This window comes from Homo sapiens, chromosome 17 (assembly GCF_000001405.40).
Source record: "Homo sapiens chromosome 17, GRCh38.p14 Primary Assembly".
NCBI lineage: Eukaryota > Metazoa > Chordata > Mammalia > Primates > Hominidae > Homo > Homo sapiens.
Genome location: NC_000017.11, coordinates 5353002 through 5375417, shown reverse-complemented (window position 1 = coordinate 5375417; position 22416 = coordinate 5353002). Strand labels below are relative to the sequence as shown.

General features: G+C 42.5%; 1 protein-coding gene and 1 long non-coding RNA gene across 9 annotated transcripts in view, besides 1 other annotated feature; one reads left to right on the top strand and one right to left on the bottom strand.

The window, feature by feature from the left end:
- RABEP1 (rabaptin, RAB GTPase binding effector protein 1) overlaps positions 1–22416 on the bottom strand; it is a 104057-nt gene that overhangs the window by 10923 nt on the left and 70718 nt on the right. For 4 of the 8 annotated variants that reach the window (XM_047437039.1, XM_047437038.1, XM_011524060.3 and 1 more), the window contains 7 exons: positions 20928–21059; positions 18845–18910; positions 13743–14210; positions 12402–12506; positions 10180–10296; positions 6950–7048; positions 1964–2104 (listed from right to left, as the gene is read on the bottom strand). In XM_047437039.1, the coding sequence (XP_047292995.1) occupies positions 1964–2104; positions 6950–7048; positions 10180–10296; positions 12402–12506; positions 13743–14210; positions 18845–18910; positions 20928–21059 (1128 nt within the window). The remainder of the gene's footprint in view (positions 1–1963; positions 2105–6949; positions 7049–10179; positions 10297–12401; positions 12507–13742; positions 14211–18844; positions 18911–20927; positions 21060–22416) is intronic. The other 4 variants (NM_004703.6, NM_001083585.3, NM_001291581.2 and 1 more) reach the window with 1 other exon arrangement.
- LOC105371505 (uncharacterized) lies at positions 12506–14811 on the top strand. Its single transcript, XR_934178.3, has 2 exons — positions 12506–13733; positions 14334–14811. It is a non-coding gene; the product is annotated as an uncharacterized LOC105371505 (long non-coding RNA).
- Positions 12841–13536: an enhancer, noted in NCBI's record as "OCT4-NANOG hESC enhancer chr17:5265177-5265872 (GRCh37/hg19 assembly coordinates)". NCBI's record gives its function as "activates a minimal SCP1, AML or CMV promoter by ChIP-STARR-seq in naive H9 embryonic stem cells {active_cell/tissue: H9 hESC(naive)}" and the evidence as "EXISTENCE:reporter gene assay evidence [ECO:0000049][PMID:30033119]".

The window sequence follows — 22416 nt, the reverse complement described above, 5'->3', positions numbered from 1 at the left end:
ACCCTGCCCCCGATACCTTCTTTTGATGACAGCAGTCACCAATTCAGAAAGGAAAGAAGGCTCTGCCAAGAGTGCCTGTAACATGAGCTGAGACGATAAGAAGTTGGGGAAAGGTGGGAGACAGCAAAGAGCTAATGGCAAGATAGGCAACTGGTTTTTTGTAAATGATGAAATAAACATAAAAAATAACAGTCATGTTAATACATATATAGGAAAAAAGAATGAGGTCCAAATTATAGAGATTGAATCTGTAGGGTATAATTAGGGGAAACTTCTACTTACTAAGATTTCCTTAAAAAGGAAAAAAAAAAAAAAAAAGAAACAGGTATAAAGATTGGATAGGACAGGCACGGTGTCTCATGCCTGCAATCCCAGCACTTTGGGAGGCCGAAGCAGGCTAATCACCTGAGATCAGGAGTTCGAGACCAGCCTGGCCAACATGGCGAAACCGCATCTCTACTAAAAATACAAAAAAAGGCCAGGTGCGGTGGCTGATGCCTGTAATCCCCGCACTTTGGGAGGCCAAGGCGGGCGGATCACGAGGTCAGGAGTTGGAGACCAGCCTAGCCAATGTGGTGAAACCCCATCTCTACTAAAAAATATTTTAAAAAATTTGCCAGGCACAGTGGCACGCGCCTGTTGTCCCAGTACTCAGGAAGCTGAGGCAGGAGAATCACTTGAACCTGGGAGACAGAGGTTGCAGTAAGCCTAGGTTGCGCCACTGCACTCCAGCCTGGGTGACAGAGCAAGACTCCATCTCAAAAAATAAAAATAAAATAAAAAATAATAAAAAAAATAAAAATACAGAAACAAATTAGCCCAGCGTGCTGGCGCACGCCTGTAATCCCAGCTACTCGGGAGGCTGAGGCAGGAGAATCACTTGAACCCAGGAGGCGGAGGTTGCAGTGAGCCAAGATCACACCACTGCACTCCAGCCTAGGGGACAGAATGAAACTGTGTCTCAAAAAATAAAAATTAAAAATTAAGCTTGGATAAAGTTAAGGAGAGAATTATGAATGTCTCTGGGAAACCAGTTTTGTAGCCCAGGTTTACCCAACCACAGAAGAATGTAAGTGACCAAAAGTGCCATCTTTGGCTGGGCATGGTGGCTCACGTGAGGTCAGGAGCTCAAGACCAGCCTGGCAAACATGGTGAAACCCCATCTATACTATAAATGCAAAAAATTAGCTGGGCATGGTGGCAGGCGCTTGTAATCCCAGCTACTGGGGAGGCTGAGGCAGGAGAATCGTTTAAACCTGTGAGGCGGAGGTTGCAGTGAGCAGAGATGATGCCATTGCACTCCAGCCTGGGTGACAGATATTATCTGTCTCAAAAAGAAACAAAAGTGTCATCTTTATGGACAGCATGATGGTGAGTGTGTTATAACTTTTCAAGTACTAGATACAAAAACAAACGTCATAAGCAGCCAGCATGGTAACCCCTTCAAACATTTAATTTCTGGCACACTCTCAATCTGGGCCGACAAAAATAACATAGATCTTCAAAACATTAAGGCTACGTGAAAGAACATGGACACAAAAGACCACATATCGTATGATTCTATTCATAGGAAAGTCCAGAATAGGGAAATCTATAGAGGCAGAAAGGTTAGTAGTTGCTTAAGGCTAGGGGAGGAGGGGGAATAAGGATGGTAGCTAAAGGGCGAAGTGTTACTTTTTCGTGTGTGTGTGTGTGTGTGTGTGTGTGTGTGTGTGTGTGTGTGTTTAGCTGGTGTAGTCGGGTCACAGGGAGTTACTACTTGAGGTGATGAAAATGTTCTAAAATTGATTGTGATGATGGTTGCACACATCTGTGAGTACAGCAAAAACCACTGAATGGTACATTTTAAATGGTTGAATTGGCACGTGAATTATATCTGAATAAAACTGTTTACATAAAGAACATACGGCCATTTCAGAAAACGTACTTGTTGACATTTTTGATCATGTGGAAAGTAAGTTACCTCTGTAGTGTCTGGGAGGATGAAGTCTTCTGCTTGCTGTAATGACACATGCAGGCTGTGCTTTCCCTGGAGACTGTCATTATCTTTCTGTAACCTCACCAGCTCTTCTGAAACCTGTTCCCGTGACTGCATCAGCACCGCCTAAAATAGAAGTAGATACTAATCACAGCCAGAAAGGTAGATCCGGTCTGGTGATAGCTACACCAGAGAAAAACAAGTCCAAACTAAAGGAGTGCTGAGGATGGACGGGGTATGGTGAAGTTCTGCTAGACTTAGAAAAAGCTGCACAGAGATTTTCTGGTTTACAGCATATATTCAACAAGGGACAGGCAATGAAGCAAGTATCTGAGGCTCATTCTCCACTGTTTCTACAAACCGCTTAAAAATTCTATCTTTTGGTTGGGTGTGGTGGCTCACGCCTGTAATCCCAACACTTTGGGAGGCTGAGGTGGGTGGATTGCCTGAGCTCAGGAGTTTGAGACCAGCCTGGGCAAAACAGTGAAACCCTGTCTCTACTAAAATGCAGAAAGTTAGCTGGGTACAGCGGGGTGCCTGTAATCCCAGCAACTAGGGAGGGAGGCTGAGGCCGGAGAATCGCTTGAACCCAGGAGGCGGAGGTTGCAGTGAGCCGAGATTGCACCGTTGCGCCCATCCTGGGCCACAGAGCAAGACTCCATCTCAAAAAAAAAAAAAAATTAATATTTTCCCTCCATATCCCTGTACTACAGAAGGACCAGGATCTCTAGTTCAATGGAAGTGGCTGACACCATCAAGACCTATATCAGACAGAGCATGTACTCTAAGACAACTCCCATTTCCCCATGGCGTGCACTGGACAGAAAGGAGGGAGAAACAGAGTAGTGTCTTCATTTCCTATTATGTATACCTCTGTTTAGGCTCGGAATCACTGTGAATGGCCCAGCAGGCCCAGATACTGGAAGTCATCAAGAGCATCTAAGCTCAGGAATCACAGAGCACTTGAGAAGCTTATTCTTTTTTTTCTTTTGAGACAGTCTCGCTCTGTAGCCCAGGCTGGAATGCAGTGGTGTGATCTCGGCTCACTGCAACCTCCACCTCCCGAGTCCCGGTTCAAGTGATTCTCCTGCCTCAGCCTCCCAAGTAGCTGGGACTACAGGCACGCACCACCACGCCCAGCTCATTTTTTTGTATTTTTAGTAGAGGCAGGGTTTCACTATGTTGGCCAGGCTGGTCTCAATCTCCTGACCTCGTGATCCGCCCACCTCAGCCTCCCAAAGTACTGGGATTACAGGCGTGAGCCACCGCACCCAGCCAGAGAAGCTTATTCTTAAAATGGGACACACTCCCACTTCTGCTTGTTGATGTGTAAAACAATTTTAGGTATTTCATATTATTTGTATCAATATAAAAGTTATCCACCAAATCCGAGTATCAGATAAAGCTCTACAAAAGCACGTGACTCCTGCTAATCTGTAGTACTAAAGTCACTTACCTTAAGGGCACACATACATGTAGATGATGCTCTCATACGATGTTTATTGTGCAGCTACTACTCTATGCCACGTGTTTTGCTGCCCACAGGAAATACAGAGATAAAAGACAAAGACTTTGCCCTGGAGAAGCTCATGGTCCAATAGAGGAGAAAGACAAGTAAACCAAAAACTACTCTACAATACCATAAACTGCTATGACAGAGATTGGGTACTGCAGTGATAAAAGGACAAAGGGGTACCTAATTTGGGGCAGGAAATTGGGAAGAGGGTTAAAGAACACTTCCCAGAGGAGGCGATGACTGAGCTGCATTCTGAAGGACAAACAGGCCTAAGACAGGCAGTCACGGCCATGCATATGCTCTGGCTAAAGCCCACTGGCTCTTATTGTCTTCAGACTAGAATCCACTGTGCTTTATGATCACTGTCACCCATTTACAACAAAATCTTAGTATCCCACCACCTTCTGGATATGAAAGAAGGGAAAAAAGAATATGTATATATTTGCTTGTTTTTGTAAAGAGAAAAACAGAAGGATAAGCCAAAAATAAATTAAAATAATTACGTATAAGAGTGAGTGGAAATGGGGTGAAAAGGACAGGGAATGGAAATGGAGCTGAGTATTTATTTTTATACTTTTGATTATGAACCATGTTACATATTCAAAATATAAATCAAGAAAGAAAAATCAAATCTGAAAATGTAATATAAAGAGAAACAGCCCAGGCGCAGTGGCTCACGCCTGTAATCCCAGCACTTTGGGAGGCCGAGGCGGGTGGATCACGAGGTCAGGAGATCGAGACCATCCTGGCTAACACGGTGAAACCCCGTCTCCACTGAAAAAACAAAAAATTCTCCAGGCGTGGTGGCGGGCGCATGTAGTCCCAGCTACTCCAGAGGCTGAGGCAGGAGAATGGCGTGAGCCCGGGAGGCGGAGCTTGCAGTGAGCCGAGATCGCGCCACTGCACTCCAACCTGGGCGACAGAGCAAGACTCCGTCTCAAAAACAAAAAAAAAAAAAGAGAAACAAATGGAGCTAACTATATATCAAATTCCTAATACAACCACAGAGAGAAAAACTAACATTTGAACACAGTACTTAAACTGTAAACCCTTATCTGAGATACAGTCTAAGGGCAGAACTACAAAGAAATGTTGGCCTTTACTTAGTAGATTTGCTGTTGGTAGTAATATTGATATAGTCATTCTGAAACTATTTTGTCCCCACCTTAACCGAGTGATCAAATTTAACATCCCCAGTAATGGAAGCACCCATCATTAACGTGCCTCATTATGTTATGAACCTCCCATTGAACCATTTCATCTGTGCAGTATTCTTGCCAAGATGTCTAACCTGAATCAAATCACAAGGAGATAATCAGACAAATGAATTCTACAAGACAGATGGCCTGAAACAAAGCAATTGGCCGGATTCTTAAAAATAAAAAGAGAGTGGGAGACTGTTCTAGATGAAAAGTGACTAAAGCGACATGGCAACAAGATGAAATATGTGATCACTGATTGGTTCCTGGATCAAAATATAGAAAATATAAAAAGGAAAACCACCACTAAAAAGTAATCAAGGACTTACTGGGACAACTGGTTAAATTTTAAGGATGTAATAACAGTACTGTAGCGATGCAGAACAACTCTTTGTTTTAGGAAATACATACTAAAATACTTACGACTGTCATGTCTACAATAACTCCAAACAGTCCAGCAAAAAACACAAACCAAGACATACGTACACACACACATCATATACCTACAAACATACACAGAAAGACTAAGAACAAGGGCAAGCATGCACTAACGTGGTGAGTTTCTCTTCTTTATGGTAATTTCAACAAAATGGTCATGTACTGGAGTTCATAGGACCTCAACCTTAATTTCAACAGTTCTCCAGTGTCACTGACACACATTCATTTTAAGTGAAACCAGCTTGAAAAGTGTCTGCAAGGGCTGATGGTTTTAAGAGACAAGAAGGAGGCCGGGCACAGTGGCTCATGCCTGTAATCCCAGCACTTTGGGAGGCCAACGCGGGTGGATCACCTGAGGTAGGAGTTCGAGACCAGCCCGACCAACATGGAGAAACCCCGTCTCTACTAAAAATACAAAATTAGCCGGGTGTGGTGGTGCATGCCTGTAATCCCAGCTACTCAGGAGGCTGAGGCAGGAGAATCACTTGAACCCAGGAGGAGGAGGTTGCAGTGAGCCGAGATTGCGCCATTACACTCCAGCCTAGGCAACAAAAGCAGAACTCTGTCTCAAAAAAGAAAAAAAAAAAGACAAGAAGGAAAAAGATGCAAGGGGTCGAAGGAGTGTAGGAGGCTCACCGCTATGAAACTGTCAGTATTTAGCAGTGATTTTTACGCCAGTGTTATATTGTATTTTCTAATTAGAGAAAACACATGAAACTATGGGTCAATGATTAGGATGAGATGCTTCCCAACAGACCAGGTTTAAGATTTAGGGATCAGCTCATAGGCCATTCAGATACTGACCTAATAATGCCAATTAAAAACATTCAATGACCATTCCACCCAAGGCTTTTATTTTTAAACTGTCATCCCCGGGTAAGCATCAGCCTTGTAGAATCACCCCAGCAGAGCCACCTCTACTTTAATTTAGTTGGAGGCATCAGATGTAGGCTCCAACTTTGAGAAAGGAAAAACAAAGCAAATGCAGCCAGACTAGTGAGGAGGGAGCCCAAGCCTGGGGACTATCTGCAAAGGCTCTAGCCGGCACTTGCTCATAACACTCTGCCCCCATCCCTCTCAGCATAGATGGCCTTCTGGAAGGTCCCCAGCACCACAACAGTTACATGTTTTTTTTCATAACCCCTGTGAAACTAATAAGGTTATTTTTTTTTTCTTTTGAAAGAGAGTCTTGCTGTGTCACCCAGGCTGGAGTGCAGTGGCGCGATCTCAGCTCACTGCAACTTCAGCCTCCCAGGTTCAAGCGCTTCTCCTGCCTCAGCCTCCCGAGTAGCTGGGATTTGCAGGTGCACACCACCACGCCCGGCTAGTTTTTTGTATTTTTAGTACAGATGGGGTTTCACCATGTTAGACAGGATGGTCTCAATCTCCTGACCTCGTGATCCACCCGCCTCAGCCCAGCCCTAATAAGGTTATTCTAAATAAATTAGCCATCCAGGAAAATCACAAAATGACTGGTCAAAAGCTGTACCAGCTAGGGCTCTCAGACATTCAATTTTTTAGCTTTTATTTGGAATTAAAAATTAAATTAGGTCCATAGTTTATTCTGTTTAGGTTTCCCAAATCAGAAAAATAAGTTAAACGATGAGAAAAAATTTTTGTTTGGCCAGAAAGTAGGTTTAAAAAAGGAATAATGTCTTTACAATATTTTGTCCATTATTAATGTTCTACAGTCCCGGGAGAAGACAACAGTAACTACTTTGGACAGGATGATAAATTCCTATCAAAGATGATGTCAAGATAGAACAAAAAAGGAATATATAGTAACATAGTTGTCATTTACTTAAAATGTAAACTTACCATCTGTTCCTGAACATCCCTCTTTGCCTGGGAAAGCCCCTGCTGTAACTCTTCAAGTAAGATCTCGGAGGCCTGGGCTCTTAGGACGAGTGCAGAGATCTTTAAAAAAACACATGTATAGAAACATAGTTAGGAAATCGGTTATTCTGAAACTAACTCTTCCATCTTCTAACTATTTAGTGTCTGGAATTGACATTTTATTTGTTCATGGGAACCACTGACCATCATCCAACAGCTGCATGCACATCTGCTATGTGCAAAGCCTTGGCCTTTCAGATAACACAAGGCAGTGCCAAAACCCGAGTCACATGCAGCCATACATTAACAAAGAGCATTCTATGGGTTTCTAGGCAGACAGTAACTCACGTGACCTAGTTGTAGCTATGTTTAAAGATGTTTAAAAAAAAAATCAGGCTGGGTGCAGTGGCTTATGCCTGTAATCCCAGCACTTTGGGAGGCTGAGGCGGGCAGATCACCTGAGGTCAGGAGTTCGAGACCAGCCTGGCCTGCATGGTAAAACCCCATCTCTACTAAAAGTAAAAAAAAATTAGCTGGGTGTGGTGGCGGGCACCTGTATTCCAGCTACTCGGGAGGCTGAGGCAGGAGAATTGCTTGAAAACCGGGAGGCAGAGGTTGCAGTGAGCCCAGAACGCACCCTGTACTCTAGCCTGGGCAACAAGAGCAAAACTCCATCTCGGGTTTAAAAAAAAAAGAGAGAAAATTTTATTTCACATAAATCACAGTGCAGAATTTAGCACAAAAAAAAGGCAAACAGACCAACTGAACAGAAGATAGTTCTGAAACTAATCTACACAGAGCAATGGGGGAAAGGTGGATCTTTTCACCAAGTCATACAGAAATTGGCTATCCATACTTTTTTTAAAAAAAAGTTTTACCCTTGGCTGGGCACGGTGACTCACGCCTGTAATCCTAGCACTTTGGGAGGCCGAGGCGGATGGATCACAAAGTCAGGAGTTCGAGACCAGCCTGGCCAAGATGGTGAAACCCCGTCTCTACTAAAAATAAAAAATTAGCCGGGCGTGGTGGCGGGTGCCTGTAGTCCCAGCTACTCAGGAGGCTGAGGCAGGAGAATCGCTTGAACCTGGGAGGCAGACGTTGCAGTGAGCCAAGATCGTGCCACTGCACTCTAGCCTGGGCGACACAGCGAGACAAAAAAGTTTTACCCTTATCTACACTGTGTGTGTGTGTGTGTGTGTGTGTGTATCTAAGTTCTAGAGGAATTTTAGATATAAATGTGAATAAAACCTCTATAATATAGGATATCTTCATAACTCCATAGGAAAAGATTCCTTTTTAAAAAGGAGGAAAATCACAAACCATAAAGAAATAATTAATAAATTTGATTTTTTTTTTTCTTTCAGACGGAGTTTCACTCTTGTTGCCCAGGCGGGAGTGCAATGGCATGACCTTGGCTCACTGCAACCTCCGCCTCCCGGGTTCAAGCGATTCTCCTGCCTCAGCCTCCCAAGTGGCTGGGATTACAGGAATGCGCCGAAACACTCGGCTAATTTTGTATTTTTAGTAGAGACAGGGTTTCTCCATGTTGGTCAGGCTGGTCTCAAACTCCTGACCTCAGGTAATCTGCCCGCCTCGGCCTCCCAAAGTGCTGGGATTACAGGTGTGAGCCACCGTGCCCGGCCAAATTTGACTACATTATTAAGGACTTCTGTTCATTAAAAGACACCATTAATGAAGACATAAGCTACTGATGGGCCAGGTGCATGGCTCACACCTAGCACTTTGGGAGGCCGAGGCAAGTGGATCACCTGAGGTCAGGAGTTCAGGACCAGCCTGGCCAACAACGTGAAACCCCATCTCTACTAAAACTACAAAAATTAGCCAGGTGTGGTGGTAAGTGCCTGTAATCCCAGCTACTCAGGAGGCTGAGGCAGGAAAACTGCTTGAACCCGGGAAACAGAGGTTGCAGAGAGCCGAAGTTGCACCACTGCACTCCAGACTGGGTGACAGAGCAAGATTCCATCTCAAAAACAAAACAAAAAATATAAGCTACTGAGTAAAAGACACCTGCAACACCTATCACCAAAAGATTCTAACATTATATAAAGGACACCTAACAAATCAGTTTTTAAAGACCAAAAAAAGTAAAATAAACAGACCACCCAATAAAAAGATGAGGATAAGACTTGAGCAGGAATCTCTCACACACAGAAAATCCCAATGGCCAAGAAACATGAAAAATGCTAAGTAACTTCAGTGGTCATTAGAGAAATGCAAACTAAGCCACAGTGAAATACCATTATACATCCACCGAAATGGCTATAATTAAAATAACAAAATGACATTTTTCCACACCTTGGAACCACAGGAACTCTCATACATTGCTGGTGGAGGTATAAACTGGTATAACCACTCTGGAAAATTATTTGGCATTTTGAACATTTGTACCCAAGCATTCCACCCCTAGTTACATATCCTGCAGAAACATGTCCACCACGCCCTATACAAAAATTTCAAAGGAACATTATTCATAATATCCCAGAACTGGAAACAACTGAAATATCCATCAACATTAGTCTGGATAAATTGCGGTATATCCGTATAATGATATGACTATTCAACAATGAAAATGAACAAACACTCCGTGCATCACGAGTAGGAATAGTACACTGTTGAACGGAGGAACACAGACGCAAAAGAACACAGAACGTATGGCTTCATTTTCTAAAGTTAAAGCACAGGCTAATCTAATGGTGTTACAAGTTAGGACAGTGGCTGCCTGTCGGGAGGGAGTTGTAAGTGCGGGGAAAGTGAGGGCTTCTGGGGTACCAGCTAATATTCTATTGCTTGATCTCAATGGTGGTTACACAGATGTTGGTTCTGGTATGTTTGGTGTATCTGTATATGTTTTTTTTTTCTTTCATGTTGCTATACTTTTAAAAAGTTTAAAAGAAAATAATTAGTATCTTTGTCAGCAAGTTTCCAGTGCAGCAGGAAAACCTAACTAATACAAATAAAGGAAAGGAGAATCAGAACCTCCTGGCATTTACTGACCAATTATTTTGAAAGTTATTCTTTAAAAATCTGTAAAACAGAGATCACAGAATGATCAGTAAGAAATCTTTTTACCTGAGGGAAAATAAAACTGCCAAATCTTCAAGGCAAAAAAAAACATGACTATATTTTTTGAATCTTTCATTTAAATAACCCAGTCATCCCTCATGGGCCACAGTCTATAAACCCTCCCTTACCTGGTGACTCGAATCTTCGCTGCTTTGCTTTATGAAGTCTTCCAGCTCCTGCTTATCTTTCATTGTCTTCTCTAACTGGTCATTAGCTTGCCTTAGCATCAGCTGTAGTTTTTTCACCTGTATCATTTTAAAAGTCAATTAGAAAAACCAGAATCCTTTTATAATTTTTTTTTTTTTAAATCTAACTCCAGAATTTTAAAAAAAAATCTCTTATGTCTTTTTCTGGGAAACACCACAGATTTTCTAATTCAGACAGAAATTAGATAAATGACCTCAAGAGACAACTGTACTGTGGTTTACAGTTAACAAATCATTTTTCACACACATCTCATCTGAAAACATCTGCTTCTCCCTCAGATCCTCTAGACCATGACACTGTTCTCCCTAACTAGAGTGTATCCTCTGTCTCCAGTCTACAATCCACACTAACACCAGAAATTTTATAAAAGTGAAATAATATAATTTCCCTACTTAAAACTCTAAATGCCTCTCAAAGTCTTCAGGGTAAATTTTTTTTTTTTTTTTTTTGAGACAAGAGTCTCTCGCTCTGCAATCTCGGCTCACTGCAACCTCCACCTCCTGGGGTTCAAGGGATTCTCCTGCCTCAGCCTCCCGAGTAGCTGGGATTACAGGCATGCACCACCACACCTGGCTAATTTTGCATTTTTAGTAGAGGTGGGGTTTCTCCATGTTAGTCAGGCTGGTCTATGAACTCCTAACCTCAGGTGATCGGCCCGCCTCGGCCTCCCAAAGTGCTGGGATTATAGGCGTGAGCCACCATGCCCGGCTTCAGGGTAAAATTTAAATCTCTTCAATCATCACCCCTCCCTAAGTGATGTCTTCATGGCTTTCCCTTGTAGCTTACATTCCCATTATTTCGTAACAGTCACCCCCTGTGCCCAGCCACATAACTACTCATACTTCCTACAATACATCATTTTCTTTCCTAACTCTGTTCTTTGTATATTTTTTCTCTCCATGAACACCCTTTTCCCACTTCTTTTTCTGACTAATTTTTAGCCAGGCTTTAAAACAGTCTACTGAAATGTTTATGAAAACCATTCCTACACCACACTATCAGGGGCCAACTACATTAGTTTTGCAAATACATTTAGAAATTTACCTTTGAAACATCTATGCGTAAAGCACACAGTGTATGAAGGAACTCAATAGCAATGACATTTGAAAATATTAAACCATCATTCTAATTGGCTTGAAGTTATTTTGAAGGCTAAGGGAACAATCTTCATAACAACCAAAGAACAATTTGGAAATATGAGGGAAAAGTATCTTTCTTACGTAGACTTTGACAAGCCCACTCTCATGAATTTCTACATTATTTCCTAACTGCTATCAAGGTGCCCATTATTAAACACTGCACTTGAAAAAGTACTGAAGATTTATCAATCTCAGCATACCAAATCTACCAAAGCTTAATTTCTGGGAACTTATTAACCTTAATTCAACAAATTTATGACAAGAAATGAGTAATATGCACTGAAGGACACAAATTCTGATTAATATAACATTCCATTAAGCCTTTATTCTACTGGAGGCAACAATCAACCTTTTATCTCCCTGAGATCTCCATATCATAAAGTACTTGCCATGTACTTAAAATCACTTTTAGGCCTTAGGCGGAAGGGGCAGGGTGGAAGAGATTAGGTAGTGTCCCTTTAAGAGTTGGGCAGACCTGTGCAGATATACAAAAACAGAGTCCTGGCCGAGCGCGGTGGCTCACACCTGTAATCCCAACACTTTGGGAGGCTGAGGCAGGTGGATCATGAAGTCAGGAGTTTGAGACCATCCTAGGCAACATGGTGAAACCCCATCTCTACTAAAAATACAAAAAATAGCTGGGGGTGGTGGCGTGTCCCTGTAATCCCAGCTACTCGGCAGGCTGAGGGAGAAGAATCACTTGAACCAGGGGGTCGGAAGTTGCAGTGAGCTGAGATCCCCCCTGCACTCCAGCCTGGCAATAGAGCGAGACCCCCTCTCAAAAAAAACAAACAAAAACAAAAACAAAAAAAAAAAAAGCAGAGTCCTAGTGAGCTCCCACTGGAAATGTAACTGCCATTGCATGTACCAGGTTATTTCATAACTTAACAAGATGGATATGCTTCATAATGTAAATGGGGCTGGGGCCGGAGAGGGGGGCAATTAATTCTGCACCTCCAATGAAAACGACAATATCCAATTTGGCGCATCCAGAAGAAACTCACCTGGTCTCTCGTTTCAGCCTCCTGAATCTGAATTCCTTGTAACTGTTTTTCGTAATTGGAACACATATCACAACGTCTACCAAGTTTATTTCCAGCATTATGTACCTGAAGGGCACCAAAATTACCTCTTATCAGGCAAAACAATTCTACATCACACACTTGAGGTACACGTGCATAGTCTTACCAATGGTAGTCAGTAGAACATGCAGTAAACACTTTCTTCAGGGCCTTACGGCAAAAAGTTACAATATAGGGTCAGATTCTAAAAAATCAAACTCTCCAGTACAAGTATGATAGGACACATGGGACACAATTTATCGCCAAGAGGCACAAAACATCACATGTGAGGAAAACACAAAGCAAGCAAAAGGTACTATCCCATGGCACTCATGGTATAATACTAAACAACCAAAGGGAAGGAAAGACAAATAAAAACAGTGCCAAGTCACCGTTTCACCAGCTCCAATTATAAAATAGGTACCAAACTAGTAAATAGCACCTTCTCACGTATGTGTTACATAAGACCAATGAGAATAGTTTCTTTCAGGCCTCAGTAAGCTGTTCCACTTACTGACCGGTGGCTTCCTTAAAGGGAAGCAGCCCTCAGTCAAGGAAAGCACCAGGAGTCAGGTTTTGCGACTAAGTCAAAGGGAACACTTGAGCAACTCACTTTATCTTTCCCAGCCAGTTTTCTCACCTGTAAATGGGAGATAACCATGCCCCACTTGCCTCATTATAATGATAAAGCTTAAAGAGATCAGGTATGTGAAAGGCCTTTGTAATCTATAAAGCATTAGGCAAATATCGAAGTGTTTATCTCCTAATCTTACCTGTGAATTTACAAATTCTCTAAGGAGGAAAATCAACTTCATTAAAGATTGGTTTCTTTTCTCTCCCATATTCCCAACCCCTCTTTAAACCCACTCTCAGCATCAACAGCAGACCGGCAATTGCGCTTTTGATCTAAAGGAAAGATGAAAGCCTGGATCCTGCAATACACTGAGATTATAGAAAACTGCAAAGCAAACCAAATCCAGGTTGCTCTAACTTAAATTCCGCAATGCTAGTCAGGCAGATTGCTCCAACCTGAGAGCTGTGAGTTCAGGTGGGGAGGTTCACATTCACTGTGATTAACTAGCTAGCTCCTTTCTCTGTCACAATTACCTGGAATACCCAAGGCAGACTATGACAAGGGTCAGGTGACACACGTTAATATCCACTTGCTGGCAACATGTGCCTGCACTGACTCCAGGAACCGTCTGTTGAATGAACGCTAAATCCCAGAGCTTCCCAGTGTGCCTCAGCGTGAGCAAGAGGAAAAACGTGAGAAAGGTAACTCACCTCTTTCTGCAAGAGATTCCATTCTGTTTCACTAACTAAACGATAACCACTAGGGGACACATAGGCACTCTCCATGCCCTGGGTAACGCTGGAGAGGAGGGACGCTGTCTCTTCTTGTTCTGGTGTCATCGCCTTGATTGCTCTTTCCTGATCTTTGGTTAACATAAACCCACTTGGCATCTGGAGTGACCCAAGGGATGCAGTATCAAAGTTCTCAGACACTGAATCTGCTCCTACCAGTGGTCCAAAATCTGACTCGTCCAGGTTTCCAGCAGATTTTGCTTTGTAGTTATAGCCTAAAGCTTTGGATTGCAATGAGCCCGAGGTTCCCAAGCTGTCTGTAGACTGTGCTCTCCTGAGTCCATCTTTAAACATGTCATTGTCCGATTTACTGAAAGGATCTCCAGATGGCAACAGCAAGCCTGCATCTAAGGAATGAACTGAGCCACGGGTGCTGTCTAAATGCTCCTGAAATGTGAAAATACATATGGCCAAGTTAGACAATTCTCTGCGTTTTTAAAGACAAAAACTATAATAAATGTATTCCGCCACTCATTACACATGATAATCATTAATGTGCTACCTTCACAGACTCATTGAACAAACACTAAGTGTCATTTCTACATGCTGGACACAAAACCAGGCCCTCAGGATACAACTGTGAGCAAGATATAATCCCTGACCTCGAGATACATACGGCTTCAAAAAAAAAAAAGATAAGTAAGCAGACTGTTATAATACTGTGATAAAAGGATGGGCTGGAGCTATGTGCTGAATGCTCTGGTAGCTCAAAGAGCTCCCAAATACGAACAGTTGAGGAACGTCACCTGCAATTCAGTGTGGCGTGTGTCAAGCGCGAGGTGCCTATCATGAATCCAAGCAGAGATATTCCCTTGACAGAGGGACACAGAAGTCTTTCGATAGAGACTTGAGAGTAACTATCGTATAATGATAATTAAAGTCACAGCAGCAAATCAGAACACGTAGGATGAGTGTGTAGGCAAAGAGGGCCAAGGGCAGAACCCTGAGAAAGATTAACATCTTGGGGATGAGCAAAGGAGAAGCCAGAGTAGTGGAAAGGAAATGACGAGAACGTAGTATTTTCTTTTTTTCTGAGACGGAGTCTCGCTCTGTCGCCCAGGCTGGAGTGCAGTGGCGCGATCTCCGCTCACTGCAAGCTCCGCCTCCCGGGCTCACGCCATTCTCCTGCCTCAGCCTCCCAAGTAGCTGGGACTACAGGTGCCCGCCACCTCGCCCGGCTAATGTTTTCTATTTTTAGTAGAGATGGGGTTTCACCATGTTGGCCAGGATGGTCTCGCTCTCCTGACCTCGTGATCCCCCGACCTCAGCCTCCCAAAGTGCTGGGATTACAGGCGTGAGCCACCGCACCCGGCCCAAGAATGTGGTATTTTCCAGCAAGGTGTAATCAACATGTTCAATGTTGTATACTATGCGAAAGCAGATGCAAAAAGTCACATATTATGTAATTCCATCTATTTAAAATGTCCAGAACAAGTAAATCCATAGAGCCATAAAGCAAGTTAGTGGTTACTAGAGGCTAGGGCAAAGGGAAAATGGCGAGTGACTCTAATGGGTTATGAGGTCTCCTTTGGGAGTGATAAAAATGTTTTCAAACTAAAAACATTTGTGTATATATGCAATGCCACTGAATTGTACACTTTAAATTTTATGTTACATGAATTTTATCTCAATTTTTAAACAACGTGGTACAGCACATTCCTGAAGGCAAAAAGCAAACCAGTGCCATTACATGAAGCAGTTGCATAGTTAGTGGGAAATAAGAAAAATGATTTAAAGAAAAATGTAACAAGTTTTCCTTCCAACTAAATTTATTCCATTTAAATGACAATGTTTTAAGATAATATCCTTTCTACGTTTTGTTGTTAAACGCCCTGTTTTAAATGAACCAGAGGAGACTGTGGAATACAGTTGTTGTTACTGGCAAGCTCATGTAACCTATTTTTTTTAATGTTTTAAAAATATTCTTGGTGTAATAAAAAGGTGACAAATTTTGAGTTAATGCCTCCATTTCTTTCCTTTTAAAGATTGTTACTCATCTGAAACTGCAATGGCTAAGAACACAAATCTCGTATATATTAAGCTTACTATGGCAAAGATCCCAAGTAAGTATCCTAATAAAAACTGGGATAAGCCATTCTGTTAGTTTACAAATAACCCTAACACCCACTGCTATGTATCATATACAGTGCTGCTGTGATACTGAAGAGGGAAGGGGCTAGGGATAGAACAGTTGTGAGGGCCATTTGAAAAACATCAGACTGGCTGGGCGCAGTGGCTCACACCCGTAATCCCAGCACTTTGGGAGGCCGAGGCGGGCAGATCACAAGGTCAGGAGATCAAGACCATTCTGGCTAGCATGGTGAAACCCCGTCTCTATTAAAAATTACAAAAAATTAGCCAGGCGTGGTGGCAGGTGCCTGTAGTCCCAGCTACTTGGGAGGCTGAGGAAGGAGAATGGCGTGAACCCGGGAGGCGGAGCTTGCAGTGAGCCGAGATCACACCACTGCACTCCAGCCTGGGCAACAGAGCGAGACTCCGTCTCAAAAAAAAAAAAAGAAAACATCAGACTACAGGCCTGGCGCAGTAGCTCACGCCTGTAAATCCAACACTTTGGGAGGCTGAGGTGGGAGGATAGGTTGAGCCCAGGAGTACAAGACCAGCCTGGGCAACATAGAGAGAACTCCTTTCTACAAAAAAATTTAAAAATTAGCCAGGCATGGTACCACACGCCTGTAGTCTCAGCTACTCAGGAGGCTGAGGCAGGAGGATTGCTTGAGCCCAGGAGATCGGGGCTGTAGTGAGCTGTGATGGTGCCACTGTACTCTAGCCAGCCTGGGTGGCAAGAACGAGACCCTGTCTCAAAAAACACAAAACAAAAGACCCCACATCAGACTACTACATTGGCAATAATATCTTAAAAATGTTTACATCCTTGAATTCAGCAGTTCTTTTTTTTTTTTTCCTGGAGACAGTCTCGCTCTGTCACTCAGGCTGGAGTGCAGTGGCGCATTCTCAGCCCATTGCAGCCTCCGTCTCCTGAGCTCGAGGGATTCTCATGCCTCAGCCACAGTGAGTAGCTGGGACGACAGGCGCCAGACACCATGCACGACTAATTTTTGTATTTTTAGTAGGGATGAGTTCCGCCATGTTGGCCAGGCTGGTCTCAAACTCCTGGCCTCGAATGATCCGCCTGTCTCAGCCTCCAAAAGTGCTGCGATTACACTTGTGAGCCACCATGCCCGGCCAGGCAGTTCTTTTCCTAAGAACTCACACTAAAAAATAAAATAAAATAAAATCAGATGCATCCATAATGATTTTTGTACAAGGAAAAATTATATATAACATTATGACATTACTTATAACGAAAAATTGTATAGTAGTAAAAAATGGAACCAACTTGACTATCAGTGTGTTAATCACGCTTTTCATTTTCTGTATTTCATAATGTTTTGATTTACTGGAGGCCTTGCTGGCTGTGAAGAAACTGCTTCCCAGGACTAGCTAATTTCTAGAGATAATAAACAACTCACCTAACTGTAAACATGCCTTTCACACACAAACCATTCAATCCCAAACCCATATCCCAACCACCTCCCTTACCTAAGTCACACACCGAGCCAGTATTTCCCCTGCCCTAAATGAACCCAGGGCCAGTTCCAGACAGCTAAGAACAGACCCTATACCCCAAAGGCTGCTGGAATTAATTACCAGCCAGTCCTAAACCCTCTGCTCTGCTCCACTTTGCTTTTCCCAAAGAAACCACAATAATAGCTATGGCCCATGCTTTTCTCTCGCTCCTGCTCCTGCCTCCTGACCACCTCTGGTGCTTCCCTGCTGTGGCCATGCAAGGTGTGCTGTACCTCTGCTTCCAGGAGAACTGTGAGTAACACAAAACTTTTTTCAGGGGCATTGAACTCCCTATGTCATCACTCAGTCACCATTATGAATTAAAAACCAGGCAGAAGCTGGAAACGGTGGCTCACACCTGTAATCCCAGCACTTTGGGAGGCCGAGGTGGGCAAATCACTTGAGGCCAGGAGTTCGAGACCAGCCTAGCCAACATAGTGAAGACTTGTCTGTACTAAAAATACAAAAATAGCTGGGCGTGGTGGTGTGCACCTGTAGTCCCAGCTACTCGGGAGGCTGAGGCACGAGAATCGCTTGAACCCAAGAGGTGGAGGCTGCAGTGAGCCAAGATCACGCCATAGCACTCCAGCAAGGGTGAGACAGCAAGACTGTCTCAAAAAAACAAAAAAAGTCACAAATCAATTAGTAGGGAATTGGTTAAAAGAATTATGGTACATTGACACGCTGAAATTCTGTCAGCCACTAAATATCATTTCAGGGAAAAACATTTAATGATGTGCCAAAACCTTAGAGTAGATTTAAGTTGGGGAAAAAATTTGCACAAAACACTATGTAGTTATAATCTAGATTATGTTTTAAAAGTGCAAATAGAGCCAGGCATGGTGGCTCAAGCCTGCAATCCCAGCACTTTGGGAGGCTGAGGTGGGTGGATCACGAGATCAGGAGTTCAAGACCAGCCTGGCCAACATGGTGAAACCCCATCTCTACTAAAAATACAAAAATTAGCCTGGCGTGGTGGCTCATGCCTGTAATCCCAGCTACTCAGGAGGCTGAGGCAGGAGAATCGCTTGAACCTGGGAGGCAGAGGTTGCAATGAGCTGAGATCACGCCACTGCACTCCAGCCTGGGTGAAAGTGAGACCCTGTCTCAAATTTAAAAAAAAAAGTGCAAATAGAAACACATGTGTTCCAGCCGGGGCAACATGTTGAAACACCGTCTCTACAAAAAATTAGCTGGGCACGATGGCGGATGCCTGTAGTCTCAGCTACTCAGGAGGATGAGGCAGAAGGACCGCTTGAGCCCGGGAGGTCAAGGCTGCAGTGAGCCAAGATTGCACCACTGCACTCCAGCCTGGGTGAGAGTGAGACCCTGTCTCAAATTAAAAAAAAAAAAAAAAGAAATATGTTAACATATGTTAACATATATATTATCTCTGGAAAAGAAAATAAGGAAAGGAAGAAAGAGATACATACCAAAATATTAGTTGTTACCTCTGGGTAGGATGATCTATCAGTTATTTTTATTTTGAATGGTGTTTTCTATACTTCCCAAATTTTCCATAATGAACATTTTGTAGAGAGAAAAGCATATTATAAGCATCAGGTTAAAGAAAATGTGAGGTCTACAAATTTCAAATATCTTTAGCCATAAATCCAACTCTCCAAAGCATCTCAGATTAACTTTTGTGTGTGTGAGACAGGATCTCACTGTCATCCAGGCTGGAGTGCAGTAGCAAAATCTCAGCTCATTGCAACCTCCACCTCCCGGGTTCAAACAATTCTCATGCCTCAGTCACCTGAGTAGCTGGGATTACAGGGATCCACCACCTCGCCCAGCTAATTTGTGTATTTTTAGTAGAGATAGGGTTTCACACCATGTTAGCTAGGCTTCAGATTAACTCTAAACCAAGAGTTGTGTCATTATTCTCAATACAAAACAATTATATTCAACATTCAAACTGCAAAACACCAGCTCTGAAAGTCTACGGATCTGTTAAGAGAGAATCAAAAATAAAAATACTTCTCTGTAAATCACAACAAATGTCCCTTTCCTGTTTTCCCACTTTTCAAACATTCCTGGATAGATTACTGCATGATGAAAACACTATGTAATCATTGGCTGTACCCAAAACTTGAGACATTCTCTTGGGAGTCTAAATATTTTTAAAATGCACAGCAGAATTAGACCAAGTGGTTCCCAGTCTATGTCCCAGAACAAAGAATGAACAAAACAACTTCAATATACAGCACTTTTTAGTGTCTACTAAAATTTTTTTTAAGTTTTTCTTAAACATCAAACAATCTGTAAGCATGGGCATATATATAACCACCAGGATGTAGATTATGTATGGCTCAAAGTAAATCTGCAAAGTAAATAGAAACATGATACCCCTGAAAGTAAAGACAAGACCTGTATCCAATTTAAGTGCAATTCATTCACCAGGCCAGGAAAGGAGGTGCCGCAGGGAAGTGAGTGTGATTCTAAGCCGCAGGGACAGGCCACATGAGCATGAACAGTAAGTGCACAGGTCTGGCTACAGAGAGGTGGAGAGCAGTAAGTGAGGCTGGAAGGGCCATTCAACTGTGAATGCCCTTGTATGCCATGCTAGGGATCTTGGGGGATCTTAGTTTTTATTCTAAAGGCAATAAGAGAAGCAGTTCCTTCACTGATAACAAGATGAGCTTTGAAAGATGAGTAGAAGGATTTCAATACTCAGAAAGGCAATGGGAGGAAAGTACTCCAAATGAAGGAACCAACAGACCAAGTGGGAATACAGCCCAAGATGATGACCAACATGGCTAAAATGTAATCCAGATGATGAAGGGCCTTAATTGTCAGAGTGAGGAATGTGTGCTTAATTATATAGGTAATGGGAGTCAATGGTAGTTTTTGAGTAGGGGAGTGGCCTGACTGCAGCTGCACTTAAGAAAATGAATTTGACAGTAATGCTGAGGACGCAGTGGAATGGGACAGGTTGAGGCAGGAAACCCAATGAGGAGGCCCTTGCCACACTGTAGGTGAGAGGTGACAAGGCCACAGAACACCTAACACTTCCAGGTCTCTCTACTCTACCCATTCCTAGTACCTGAAACATTTTACCCTGTGGTGTTATCTGCCAAACCTCACCCATGGCCGTCAGGGATGAAAACCTAATACTGGTTAATACTCTCATATATGCTACAGGGAGTTAAGCATTTCAGCGCTTTAGATAATCTCTTTTTAAACAAAAAAGACAAGTATTAGCAACATGTACTATTCACATCAAAAAAGATTTTGCAGACATTATTTAAAGGTTTATTCTAATGTATTAAATTTTGGAAATACTGGAAAAAAGAACATCTATTTCAGACAGCGAATGAAGCTGCAACATGTTTCAAATAGTGCTACCTATAATGCCATAAAAACAACTGAAAATACTGTCATTTTTATCTAACTTTCACCTCGTAGCTATGCACTTCTCACTTCTCATATGAACAATGTAATTAACTGATGTATGAGTAAGCTAAAATTGTTGACATTGTGTATTTAATGACTTTAATTATAGACTCACTATACCTCTTCATTTGATAACTGGGCTGAAGATTCTTCTTGAGTTAAAGCACACACTACTGGTATTTTTATTTCTTCCTCAACATCTGCTTTTTTGTGATCCTTTCTCTTATTGAGTCTTTGTTGTTCATCATCCTCCTAAAAGGAAGAAAAAAACATATATATGACCCAAGTAACCTACTTAATAAGTGACACAGTTCTTTAACCATTCAAAACAAATAAAGAACAGAGCGTTATGATAAGAGAAAACTGGATACTTACGCTTCTTTGTTTTGTAATCCCATCTAAGGGCCTCTGGCCATTACAAAATATTTTAATATTATAAGCACAAACTAAGAACACTGGTATAAAGAAGAAATCAGGAAGCAGCTTCCAAGAAAAGTATACTGTATAAAGTAAGGCAAAATAAAAGAAAGCAAAACCGCCTCTTCAAATGATCCTTGAAAAAAAAAATTTACACAGAACATTCCTTGTGATTACTGTAGAAAATAAATATGAAAAAGTTTGTTTTTGAGACAAGGTCTTGCTCTGACACTCAGGCTGGAATGCAGTGGTGCAAATATGGTTCACTGCAGCCTCAACCTCCTGGGTTCAAGCAATTCTCCCACCTCATCCTCTCCACATAGCTGGAATCATAGGCATGTGCCACCACGCCCGCCTAATTTTTTTATTTTTTGTAGAGACGGGGTTTCACATTGTTGCCCAGGCTGGTCTTGAACTCCTGGGCTCAAGCAATCCTCCTGCCTCATCCTCTCGTGTAGCCGGGATCACAGGCATGCACCACCATGCCTGGCTAATTTTTTGGTTTTTTTGCATAGATGGGGTCTCACGCTGTTGTCCTGGCTGGTCTCAAACTCCCAGGCTCAAGCGATCCTCCCACCTTGGCCTCCCAAAGCGTTGGGACTACAGGCATGAGACACCACACCCCACCCAAAAAAGTTTTTATAATGTTACACATCCATTAGAAACATTAACAAATGTATATGAATACAAAAGGAATGATTAAAGTTGATAGAATAATTCACTCAACAAAGATGAGTAAGATACCTTATACCTTCAGTGTCACGTAAAACAGCCTAGGGAGGAGAGACAAACAATTACAATACAAGTATGTACAAGGTTCTAAAGAAGGAGAAAAACAATGACTGATTTCATCTGAAGGAACCAGCAAAGGAGGCCCAAAGGAGTAACACTTCAGCTGAATCTTGAAAGATCAGTAAGGTAAGTTTGCCAGTTGCATGAGAAGAGACAATTAAGGGTTCCAGGGAGAAAGGAGGCACATACAAAAGACAGAAACATGGAAAAGCAGGCCTGTGGAGGAGTTCTGTGTAATGTTATATGGATGAAAAATGGGCAGGCACATGAGAAGTAAAGGACATGGAGAAAGAGGTGGTGAGTAAGCACTTAGACTCTGGAATCAGAGATTGTTCAAGCCTCAGATGGGCCATACATGACGTCTCAGCCTGTTTACTATTCTAGAACACAGGAACCGTAT